Source organism: Homo sapiens, chromosome 2 (assembly GCF_000001405.40).
Source record: "Homo sapiens chromosome 2, GRCh38.p14 Primary Assembly".
Classification (NCBI taxonomy): Eukaryota; Metazoa; Chordata; class Mammalia; order Primates; family Hominidae; genus Homo; species Homo sapiens.
Window position 1 is genome coordinate 86939381 of NC_000002.12, and position 12698 is coordinate 86952078.

General features: G+C 45.0%; 1 protein-coding gene across 10 annotated transcripts in view, besides 1 other annotated feature; it reads left to right on the forward strand.

Annotated features, from left to right (window-relative positions):
- Positions 1–12698, forward strand: part of RGPD1 (RANBP2 like and GRIP domain containing 1) — a 100318-nt gene that overhangs the window by 25722 nt on the left and 61898 nt on the right. For 9 of the 10 annotated variants that reach the window (XR_007074605.1, XR_007074622.1, NM_001410915.1 and 6 more), the window contains one exon: positions 11916–11980. Coding sequence is in view for 8 of the 10 variants with exons in the window: in NM_001410915.1 (NP_001397844.1) it covers positions 11916–11980 (65 nt within the window). In the remaining 2 variants the exon portion in view is untranslated. Of the gene's footprint in view, positions 1–2737; positions 2929–11915; positions 11981–12698 lie in introns of those variants that run through there. The other variant, NM_001382344.1, reaches the window with a different exon arrangement.
- Positions 2870–3633: an enhancer, noted in NCBI's record as "H3K27ac-H3K4me1 hESC enhancer chr2:87169373-87170136 (GRCh37/hg19 assembly coordinates)". NCBI's record gives its function as "activates a minimal SCP1, AML or CMV promoter by ChIP-STARR-seq in naive H9 embryonic stem cells {active_cell/tissue: H9 hESC(naive)}" and the evidence as "EXISTENCE:reporter gene assay evidence [ECO:0000049][PMID:30033119]".

The window sequence follows — 12698 nt, forward strand, 5'->3', positions numbered from 1 at the left end:
CCAGCCTGTCCAACATGGTGAAACCCCGTCTCTACTAAAAATACAACAATTAGCCGGGTGTGATGGCACGTACCTGTAATCCCAGCTACTCGGGAGGCTGAGGCACAAGAATTGCTTGAACCTGGGAGGCAGAGGTTGCAATGAGCCGAGATTGCGCCACTGGAGTCCAGCCTGGACCACAGAGTGAAACTCCGTCTCAAAAAAAAAAAAAAAGAAAGAAAGAAAGAAAAGAAGGTTCTCTCTTTGGGCACTCCTTTTCAACATATTCAGCATAAATGAATTAATGATACCATTTTTACTAGGTGAGTGTGTTTGGGCAAGTTGCTTCAGTGCTCATTCTCTTGGTTTCCTTTTTTTTTTTTTTTTTTTTTTGAGACAGGGTCTTTCTCTGTCACCTAAGCTGGAGTGCAGTGGAGTGAACATAGCTCACTGCAGCCTCCAACACCTAGCCTCAAGAGATCCTCCTGCTTCAGTCTCCCAAATAGCTGGGACTACTGGCATGTACCACCATGCCTGGCTAGTTTTTAATTTCTCTTTTTTTGTAAGCACAGGGTGTTGCTATGTTGCCCAGGATGGTCTTGAACTACTGGGCTCAAGTGATCCTCCCACCTCAGCCTCCCAAAGTTTTGGATTACAGGCATGAGCCATGGTACCTGGCTGTCTTTTGCTTTCCTTATCTGTAAAAACTGAGGATAATAACAGTACCCTTACAAAGTTGGTGGAAGAATGATATTAGTTAATACAAATGAAGTGCTAACAAAAAGAGCTTTGGAACACAGCAAGTACTTGTTAGGTATGGCTATTGTCATCAACACACTTTTCAAGGCAAACTTGTGGTTTCACCTATCACCTGAGATATATGACTTCTAAGTTCATCAGATCTTCTCTTTTGGTTTTTATTTTTAAATTAATTAAATATTATTATTCTTATTATTTGAGACAGAGTCTGCTCTGTCACCCAGGCTGGAGTGCACTGGCACGATCCCAGCTCACTGCAACCTCCACCTCCCACGTTCAAGCAATTCTGGTGCCTCAGCCATCCAAAGAAGCTGGGATTACAGGCGTGCACCACCATACCCAGTTAATTTTTGCATTTTTAGTAGAGATAGGGTTTCACCATGTTGGCCAGGCTGGTCTTGAACTCCTGGCCTCAAGCAATCCACCCATCTGGGCCTCCCAGTGTGCTGGGATTACAGGCGTGAGCCATCGTGCCTGGCCCTCTTTTCATTTTAGAGATAGGAATCTCATTCTCTTCCAGAGGCTGGAGTGCAAAGGCATGAACATAACTCATTGCAGTCTCCAACTCCTGGGCTAAAGGGATGTTCCCCCCTCTGCCTTTGGAGTAGCTGGGCCTCAGAACTGTGCCACAACTACTGGCTTCCATCAAGATCTCTGTCCTACCATTTCATCTTCCTACTAGGCTATCCCCACATGGATAGATAAATGGTACCTCAAGTGAAAGAAATCAACTACCTAAAATAGGATTTTCCACTCCAAACTAGATTTTCTTTACATGTCATTTCTGTTAATGTGGGCCACACACACTGGTAAGCTCAGAATCATCTTTTTCTTTTCTTTTATTCACATCCAATATGGTTGAAATAAAACAAAATGCTGTTTTTCCTTTTTTAGAAAGGCAATACTTGTTCATTATATCAAAATTTAGAAAATATGGAAAAACAAAAAGGATAAAAAATTATCCACAACCAAAATAGCCCAAATTTCCAGTTAAAAATATCAACGCATTTGATATTTGTCCACATAATTAAGACTGTAATGTTTACACAAATGTGAGCTTTTAAAATCTAAAAGGCTCTCACTATTAAAAATGTTTTGTTAAATTTTGTTTTAAAAGTAAGATTTTAATATCCAAATTCCCAAAATAGACATTTTTGAAGATTTGGAAAATACAGACGGCTGAAAATCTTTACATTATTACTGTTAAATTTTGGTATGTTCTGTTATTCTGCTAGTGAAATATATATAGATTTGGGGGGCTATTCCTTTTCCTTTTTTTTTTTTTTGAGACAAGTGTCTCACTCTGGTGCCCAGGATGGAATGCAGTGGCGCTATCACAGTTCATTGTAACCTGGAACTCTTGGGATCCTCCCGCCTCGACCTCCCAAAGTGCTGGGGCTACCGGCTTGAGCCACTGTGCCAGGCGAATGGCTGTTCCTATATACACAGTTGACCCTTGAATAACATGGGTTTGAACTGCCTGGGTCCACTTATAAGCTGACAGAAAATACAGTATTGGAGGGGCCTGCATATAGAGAGGTCTGACTTTTCCTCTAAGTGTTCCACCCGCAGGACTGACTGCGGGATTTGAGAATGCGCTTTGTTTTTTTTTTTTAGGAAGTCTTACTCTCGCCCAGGCTTGAGTGCAGTGGCGCGATCTCAGCTCACTGCAACCCTCGCCTCTCAGTTTCAAGCGATTCTCGTGCCTCAGCCTCCCGAGTAGCTGGGATTACAGGGGCCCACCTCCACGCCCGGGTAATTTTTTGTATTTTTAGTAGAGATGGGTTTTCGCCATGTTGGCCAGGCTGGTCTCCAACTCATGACCTCAGGTGATCCGCCCGCCTCGGCCTCCCAAAGTGTTGGGATTACAGGCGTGAGCCACGGCGCCCGGCGGGCAAGACACCCTCAGAGCACAGGGTGCTGCCAAGAGCCCGGCCGAGTGCAGCTCGAGCGCCGACGTCGCCAAGGATACACAGTGCTGACGCAGTACACAAGTGCGTCACAGTGGTCCTCCGCCGGCTACGTCAGTGGCTTTCAGGCGCTTTCCTGTTGGAATTGGCGACTGCTGCGGGGCTGAGCGCTGGTTTCACGCGTCTCGGGAGCCAGGTTGGCGGTGCGATGAGGCGCAGCAAGGCCTACGGGGAGCGGTACGTCGCCTCGGTGCAGGGCTCCGCCCCGTCGCCTGGAAAGGTGAGTGGATCTCGAAGAGACCGACGGCCTCGACCTGGCCGGGCGGCGGCCTCGACCTGGCCGGGCGGCGGCCTCGACCTGGCCGGGCGGCGGCCTCGATGGCTCAGGCGTCATGGCTCCCGACGGGCGCTGCTCCCTGGCGCGCTCTGTTGAGGCGCCGGCCTCGACCTGGCCGGGCGGCGGCGGCGGCCTCGACCTGGCCGGGCGGCGGCGGCGGCCTCGACCTGGCCGGGCGGCGGCGGCGGCCTCGACGTGGCCCGGCGGCGGCCTCGATGGCTCAGGCGTCATGGCTCCCGACGGGCGCTGCTCCCTGGCGCGCTCTGTTGAGGCGCCGGCCTCGACCTGGCCGGGCGGCGGCGGCGGCCTCGACCTGGCCGGGCGGCGGTGGCCTCGACGTGGCCCGGCGGCGGCCTCGATGGCTCAGGCGTCATGGCTCCTGACGGGCGCTGCTCCCTGGCGCGCTCTGTTGAGGCGCCGGCCGGCTGGCGCAGTCCTGTGGGCGGCGTGGCGCTTGCAAGCGCAGGAAGAGTCCTGGGGGGACCGCGGTGGGCGGGATACCTTTGGCGCCGGATCTTCCTCTTTCTCCCGGTTTGTTCCCGACGGTGCTCGCTCGTGGGCCCGCCCTGGCCCGGGCTTTCTGGCCCCATAGTACCCGCGCGGCCTAGTTCTCGGGGGCTTGGGCACCCGGGTGCTGTATCGGCGGGTTTCTTCCCATGTCCTGGACATTTACTTTATATGCTGCGGCGGAGGTCGTACCTCCTTGGCCTGGAGGAACCCAGTGGGGACTGACGCAGCTCCGGGTGAGCTTTGGCGGCTGTGTCGAGTGACAACGTAGGCATCTCAGCACGGACATTTGCAGTGGCCCGACGGCGCAAATGACAGGGGAAGTCCCCTTGTTTTGAGTATGAGGTGTTTGTCGCTGTCCCTTTATAAGGGTCCAACTCCACTCATACTCACCTCCCTCGCCCCCCCCCCACCCCGCCCAGAACACTTTGGTAGCTGCCTTTGCTTAAAAAAAAAAAAATTCTAAAGTTCTTACAAATCGTTAGTATGGCTTACAATTTTTAACCTTTTCCACAAATGTTTTTAGGGTATTTTTCCTCTTTACAGGTAAATAATGTGATCTATTTTGGATTCAATAAGACTTTAGTAATTGGATCTAAAGAGTGACGGAAGAAGCTATTAAAGGTGGATGTGCACAGAATCTTGAGTCAGTTTGCTTTGGCTTGAATAATCACAGCACTGTCGTTTATAAGCTGGGTATTTGGGGCCAGTTACACTTTTCATCCATAGATGGAGTTGTAACATTAATAGAATTTGATAGGATGATCCATTTTAAACATTTAGGGTATTGCTTGACACATAGCACTAAGTGTTAGCTACAAGTCACTGTTTTTATTGTTGATGTTAAAAGGATATTGGCGGGGCGCAGTGGCTCACGCCTGTAATCCCACCACTTTGGGAGGCCGAGGAGGGCGGATTGCCTGAGGTCAGGAGTTGGAGACCAACCTGGCTAACATGTCGAGACCTCGTCTCTACTAAAAATAGAAAAAAAGTTAGCCGGGCGTGGTGGTGCACACCTGTAGTCCCAGCTACCCGGGAGGCTGAGGCAGGAGAGTCGCTTGAACCCGGGAGGTGGAGGTTCCAGTGAGCCGAGGTCGCGCTACTGCACTCCAGCCTGGGCGACAGAGGGAGACTCCAAAAAAAAACAAAAAAAAACCAAAAAACGGAAACTCAACGGATGACCATGATTATAATAGTAGCATAATTGTGTCTCTTATCATAACTAAGCATACGTTATCTTATTTTGCGCTTCCAGCAACCCTGTGGATATTGAGACCTGTAGAGATTTAAGATACTTGTTCAGGGTGAAATAGGTAGTGCAGCAGAATTTTGGCAGTGGGTCTGATTTAGTTTCTCTTGGGAACAGTGGAGTAAGTTACAGTCTATTCCTCCAGAGAAGAAGGATAGATATCTACTTGTACATTGTAATTTCAAACTGCTAGCATAGTATAAATATGAATGTGATGATAGAGTCTAAAACAGACCTTAATTGAGGGTTCCTGTAACTCCTGAAATTAAAGACTTTAATTTTTGTGTTATTTTTTTTTTTTTAGGTGGGGTCTCACTCTGTCACCCAGCTGGATGCAGTGGCGCTATCTCGACTCACTGCAACTTCCGCCTCCCCAGCTCAAGCGATCCTCCCACCTCAGTCTCCCGAGTAGTTGGGACCACAGGTGTACCCACCACACCTGCTGTTTTGTTCTGTTTTGTTTTTATTTTTGGTAGAGACTGGGTTTCACCATGTTGCCCAGGCTGTTCTTGAACTCCTGGGCTCAAGTGATTTCCCCGCCTCCACTTCCCAAAGTGTTGGGATTATAGGCGTGAGCCACTGCACTGGCCATTATTTTATTTTTGAGACAAGGTCTCTTTCTGTCTCCCAGGCTGGAGTGCTGTGGCAGGATCGTGGCTCACTGCAGCGTTGACGTCCTGGGCTCAATCCATCCTCCCACCTTAGCCTCCTGGGTAGCTGAGACTACAGGCATGCCAGCTACAGGCATGCGCCACCATGCCCGGCTTTTTTCTTTAATGTAGAGACGGGGTCTTACCATGTTACCCAGGCTGGTCTCCAACTCCTGGGCTCAAGTGATCCTCTCGCCTTGGCCACAAGTGCTGAGATTACAGGTGTGAGCCACTCTGCTCAGCCTGATTTTTTTTTTTTTAAACAAGCTTAAAAAAAAAAAAAGCATGTTTAGAGCCTTTCTGAGATTCTTAGTGGGGATCTTGGCTTCCAAAAGATTAAAAACCACTGGTCTAGACAGAAGTTAGAATGTTCTTTCAACTACATAACGTCTCCATTAAATAAAGTGGAGTGGTAGCAACATTTTGAGGATTGGTTATTATGACCACCTCTCTTACACTTAGAGTCTTTTTTTTTTCCCCCAAATTTAAAGTCATTTACATTAGAACCTGGGGATTTCAGCGGAATATGGATTAACTAGTGAGTAACTTTGGAACATGTGAAGCTATTCTGTAAAGTTAGGTTTGAGTGAAATGACAAAACAGGGTGCTTTGGATAGAAGGTAAGGAATGGAGGGAGAAGAGGCAGTGGCTGTGAAGAATATAAAGAGGTTAATATTCTCCCCCAGTTTGGCAGAGACTGGCCATCTGTGAACTGCCCATGCTTTCTAGAATGTCTGAGTTTTGGAGTGTGATGATGCGTCTGTATATCATATCTTTCTAGTCTTCCATTGTGCTTTCATTTGTTAGTCTTCTCTTGTTTTGCCATTTTTGTACTCCCTCACATGTGCTTTTGCCCTTCTTAAAAATATTCTTCGTCTGTAATCCAAGCACTTTGGGAGGCAGAGAGACCAGCCTGACCAACATGGTGAAAATCCGTCTCTATTAAAAATACAAAAATGAGCCGGGCGTGGTGGCAGCGCCTGTAGTCCCACCTACTCGGTAGGCTGAGACAGGAGAATTGCTTGAACCCTGGAGGCAGAGGTTGTGGTGAGCAGAGATTGCGCCACTGCACTCCAGCCTGTGTGACAGAGCGAGACTCTGTCTCCAAAAAATAAAAAAATAAAAAAATATATAATTCTTTCTCTAGTTTTTCTTTTTCCAGATGGCTTCTGTTTAGTTTTTCTATGTTCTGTCAAGTTGGTTTCTTATTCTGCAGCTGATTCCTACTTCTCAAACTCTACTTGACAGCTCTTATTTTTATTTATTTGTTTTTTAGAATAGGGTCTTGCTGTGTTGTCCAGGCTGCCATCAAATTTTTGGGCATAAATGATCCTCCTACCTCTGTTGCCTGAGTACTTAGGACTACAGGCAGGCACCTTTGACAGCTGTTAGTTGTTTTTTCTGCCCTTTACATCTATACTTCATGCTTCTGAGTAACACACACATATACTTTTGTTATTTTGAATTCCCTTTCTCCCATTTTAGACATTTTGTTTTCTTTTTTTTTTTTGAGACAGAGTCTCGCTCTATGGCCTAGGCTGGAGTGCAGTGTCGCGATCTCGGCTCACTGCAAACTCTGCCTCCGGGGTTCACGCCATTCTCCTGCCCCAGCCTGTAGCTGGGACTACGGGCACCCGCCACAACACCCGGCTAATTTTTTAGTATTTTTAGTAGAGACGGGGTTTCACCGTGTTAGCCAGGATAGTCTCGATCTCCTGACCTCATGATCCGCCCGCCTCAGCCTCCCAAAGTGCCGGGATTACAGGCGTGAGCCACCGCGCCCGGCCCCACTTTAGACATTCTGTACTGGCTATTATGCTCCTCCAAAACTGTCCTCAGACACTTTGCTTTGCCCCTCATTGTTTCAGTACTGTTATTGGAGTTTTTGTTTAAATGAATATTTAACATTTATATAAATATAAGGTAAATATTTTGCATTTGAATTGCCCTTGTTGTGCAGTTTTGTTTTTCCTGGACTGAATAATTGCTTTATTTTTTGGTTTGCTTGTATGTTGTGTTACTACTTGGTTACTTAAACTCAGCAACTTAAACCCTCAAATGTGGTCAAACTGGTCACATAATCCGATCAATTTCAGCTTAAAACATTGATTGATTGATTGATTGATTGATTGTCTGTCTACCTGGAATACCCTTACTAACCGACTTCTCCAACCCAGATTGGTTTTTCTTCCTCTTTGCTACACAGCTGTGCTCTTGGGACTTCCCTTTATCACCAGTTTGAGAATTCCCTTCATCTTTTTTCTGAGTTAGACCCTTTGTTTCTTGTATCTCATGTCATCTTCATTTACTTTCTTTGTTTTGGTGTAGCATAGTTCACTTGCTTTGAGGAAAAGTGGATGAGAGGTTTTTTTGTTTGTTTTTGTTTTGGGACAGAGTCTTGCTCTGTTGCCCAGGCTGGAGTGCAGTGGCATGGTCTCAGCTCACCACAACCTCCGCCTCCCGGGTTCAAGTGATTCTCCTGCCTCAGCCTCCCGAGTAGCGGGATTACGGGTGTGCGCCACCATGCCCGGCTAATTTTTTCTATTTTTAGTAGAGATGGAATTTCACCATACTGTTCAGGCTGGTCTGGAAACTAATGGTATGTCTTTAAAACATCTTTACTTAATTTAGTTGATCATTTGGTTATCGAATTCTGAGTTTGAAATAATTTTTTTCGCAATTTTGAAAGCATTGCTCCATTTTCCAGAAGTTCTGTTGTTAGGAGTCTGATGAGAGTCTTGTTCTTGGTAACAAAGGTTTTCTGGAAGTGTCCTTTCAATTGGGAAACTCATTTCTTTCAGTTCTGTAGCGTTTCTTGTATTATTTCTTTGACCATTTCTTACCCTTTTTTTAATGATGTTTACCTGAAAGCTGGAGTTTCTCTAATTTTTCTCTTATTCTCCTCTTTTGTTTGTTCTGCCTTTTGAGAGATTTCCTTACCCTTATGTTCCAGGGGAAGAAGATTGGGGAATTCATGTTTCAGTATCTAGACTTTTCCTCATTGTCCTGTATAATCACGGCCTTCACCCTTGTTGGGACTCCACAGATTTGGAGCTGATCAGATCGGTTTGTTGAGAACAGCAGCTTTTTTGGAGGATTTTAGGGGGAGGGAGATTCATTTGACTGTGCAAGATGGGCGACAGAGCGAGACTCCGTTTGAATTAAAAAAAAAGAGAGAGAAATTTAGAACTGCATAATGAAAAAGTAGGCCACAAATGTTAAGTTTTGGACAATTACAATTACATCTCTATCTTACTGTGCAAGATAGCGATGATGTGGCATCTCTTAGGGTCTTACTGTTCCTGTTTTCAGCCCTGCATCAGTTCTTGATATTTGGCAGCTTAAGTGAATTCAGGTATTTGCTTATAGTGACATCTGCTGTCATGTAAAGAAGTACTGCTTGAATCAGATATTGTCCTGTTTACATAACGTGGGCTGTGCTCCTTCCTAGCTGTATATCTTTAAACAAGGCATTTGCCTGCTTGAGCTTCAGTTCCCTTGTAAAGTGAGGTTAGAGGCAAAAGATCATACAGAAGAATAATTTGTAAAGTTGTTTAATTATCTTAAGATTGTCTACTTTAATAACATAGTTGGAAGCAAAGAAGGTAATGGAATTATTTTTCTATTATGTTTTGGCATTGTACCTTGAATCTATTTCTTCATTTTGAAAAGGGGGAACTGGCCGGGCTCGGTGGCTGAGGCCTGTAATCCCAGCACCTTCGGAGGCGGAGGAAGTCAGATTACAAGGTCGAGAGAACGACACCATCTGGCCAACATGGTGAAACCCCATCTCTACTAAAAATACAAAAATTAGCTGGGCATGGTGGCGTGCGCCTGTAGTCCCAGCTTGTACCCGGGACGCAGAGGTTGCAGTGAGCTGAGATCGAGCCACCGCACTCCAGCCTGGCGACAGAGCAAGACTCCATCTCAAAAAAAAAAAGGAAGCGGGGAACAAGCCTTGTTCCTTTATGTGCTGTCCTGACTGTTGTGTATTATTTTTGTTAAGATTGCTATAGTTCTTTTTTTTTTGAGATGGAGTCTTGCTCTGTCGCCAGTGCTGGGATTGCAGGTGTTAGCCTGGCATTGAGCAACGTTTTGTAATTTAAGCATACAAGTCTCTCACCTCCTTGTTTACATTTATTCCCAGGCATTTTTTTCATTTAGATGCGATTGTAAATGGAATTGCTTTCTTAATTTCCTTTTCTGATTGTTCGTTGCTGGTACAGTAGTCCCTTCTTATCCACAGTATTGCCTTACGTGGTTTTACTTACCTGCGTCACCCGTGGTCCAAAAATATTGAATGGAAGATTATATAAATAAACATTTCATGAGTTTTAAATTGCAAACAGTTCTGAATAACATGATAAAAATCTCACAGCCTCCTGCTCCGTCCTACCCAGGACACGAATCATCCCTTTGTCCAATATATTCATGCTGTATGTGCTCCCCACCCGCTAGTTACATACTAGCCATCTCAGTTATCAGATCAGTTGTTGGAGTATTGCAGTGCTTGTGTTCAAGTAACCCTTATTTTATTTAAAATGGCACCAAAGAGCAAGAATAGCGATGCTGGCAGTTCACATATGCCAGAGAGAAGCCATATAGTGCTTCCTTTAAGTGAAGAGGTGAGTTTTTGACTTAGGAAAGAAAAAAGATCGTATACTGGGGTTGCTAAGATCTACGGTAAGAACAAATCTTTTGTCCATGAAATTGTGAAGAAGGAAAAAGAAATTTGTGCTAGTTTTGTTGTGACACCCCAAACTGCAAAAGTTACAGCCACAGTGTGTGATAAGTGCTTTGTTGAGATGGACAAGACATTAAATTTGTGGGTGGAGGACACAAACAGGAAACATGTTTCGATTGATGGCAACCTGGTTTGATACTGTTCATCGTTTTGGACATTCACTGGGGTCTTGGAATTTCAAAAATAAGATGTTTGAGTGGCTGTATACTCTTTATCACATGGATGGAACATACTCTGGTTGTATCAGCTTTTTTTTTTTTTTTTTTTTTTTTTTTTGAGATGGAATCATTCTGTTGCCCAGGCTGGAGTGCAGTGGTGCGGTCTTGGCCCACTGCTGCCTCCCGGGTTCAGGCGATTCTTTGCCTCAGCCTCCCAAGCAGCGGGGATTACAGGCGTGTGCCACCATGCCCAGCTAATTTTTGTATTTTTAGTAGAAAGGAGGTTTCTGCATGTTGGCCAGGCTGGTCTCGAACTCTTGGCTTCAAGTGATCCACCCGCCTCAGTCTCCGAAAGTGCTGGGATTACAGGTGTGAGCCACCGCACCCAGCCTGGTGTGCATCAGCATTTTGGACTTTGGAGTTTACGTAACCAAGGAGCCAGGCTGTGGACCTTGTTTATTACTTGAAGAATTCAATATTTATTTCTGCCTTTTTGACTCCTTGACTGTAAAATACTGATCTGATCTGTAGAGAGAACAGTACATGTACTATTAAGGCACAGGGAATCCTCAGTGCCTTAATAGATCGTAAGTACTTACTTATTCTTTCCCATAGAGGCTTACACATGGTAGGAGAAGAGATTTCTGGAATACCTTTCCTCCCCAAAGAAAGCTGGTTTCTTTTGTTTGTTAAGTGAGAGAGTGGTACCACAGGGTTTCCAAGATTTCCAAGGCTGATGAAAATTCTTAACTTCTGTTGTCTGCTTGTCTTGCTTTCTTGAATTTATTTTTTGTATGTTATGTATTTATTATTTAGAGACAGGATCTCCCTGTGTCACCCAGGCTGGAGTGCAGTGTCACAGTCATAACTCACGGCAGTGTCAACCTCCTGGGCTCAAGTGATTCTCCTTCCTTGGCCTCCTGAGTAGCTAGGAACACAGGCATGCTCCACTATGCCTGGCTATTTTTTTCCCCCTGGAGACAGGATCTTGTTGTGTTGCACAGGCTGGTTTCAAACTCTTGGCCTCAAAGCTAGCCTCCCACCTTGGTCTCTGAAAGTGCTAGAATTAAATAGAATTAAAGGTGTGACCAACTGCACCCAGCTTATTTATGATGACGATGATGATGATGTTTGGGAGATGGAGTCTCTGTCGCCCAGGCTGGAGTGCGATGGCACGATCTCAGCTGACTGCAACCTCTGGCTCACTGCAACCTCCACCTCCTGGGTTCAACTGATTCTCGTGCCTTAGCCTCCCGAGTAGCTGGGATTACAGGCACCCGCCATCATGCCTGGCTAATTTTTCTATTTTTGTAGAGACGGAGTTTCACCATGTTATAACGCCAGGCTGGTCTCAAACTCCTGACCTCAGGTGATCCGCCCACTTCGGCCTCCCAAAGTGCTGGGATTACAGGCATGAGCCGCTGCACCCAGCTCTATTTTTTGTTTTGTGATAGGAAATTATAAAACATGGAATTATGCATTTGTCAGGCTTTAAAAAAAACTTTTAAGTGAATGAAAATGGCATATTTGAACATAAACTTAGGGCAGATTTTTACTACTTTTGAAAAAATGTTGGAGAATATTTCTGTATGAAACGTAAAACAACTTTTAATTTTTTTTAGAAGTTGAGAGGATTCTATTTTGCAAAGCTGTATTATGAAGCTAAAGAATATGATCTTGCTAAAAAGTAAGTACAAACTGTAACATGTATTCTTTTTTTAAAATCAATGCCTTTTCTCATTTTCTTCTTTGAAATAGGTAAAAATATGTTCTTAGTAGTTCTTCCTAAGTGTATTCTGGAATAAGGGATTTATCACTCAGACTGATGCTAAGGACCAGCCTAGATTCCATTGAGATTGAAACCGTAATTAGTGTTTTCTGCATGCTGCTGCTTTATACCAAGGGCAAGAAATTGTTTGGCTTAAAACACTTTTTCTAAAAATTGTCTTCTGTTGGAGTAAAAGAGGACCATGCCTATATCTTCATTTGTTTTTGGTTAGATATCTGATACCTTAATCAGATGGAAAATAGCAATGAATAAAAAACTGTAATTGTAAGGCAGGAGAATAGCTTGTATAAAAGATCTTTAATTGACACAATATGTGATGCTCTAAGGCTCTATCCTAGGGATAAGAAGCTTGGTGATTCTGATTTCCTGACTGGGAGTGGATTAAAGCAGGAAATTAAGAGGGAGGCAGGGTTTTTTTTTTTTTTTTTTTTTTTTTAGGCAGTATCTGTCTCTCTTGCTCAGGCTGGAGTGCAGCAGCTGGCTCCATCTTTGCTCACTGTAACCTCTGCCTTCTGGGCTCAAGAGATCTTCCCACCTCAGCGCCCCAAGTAGCTGGGGATACAGATGAGCACCACCACACCTGGCTAAGGTTTGCATTTTTTGGTAGAGACAGGTG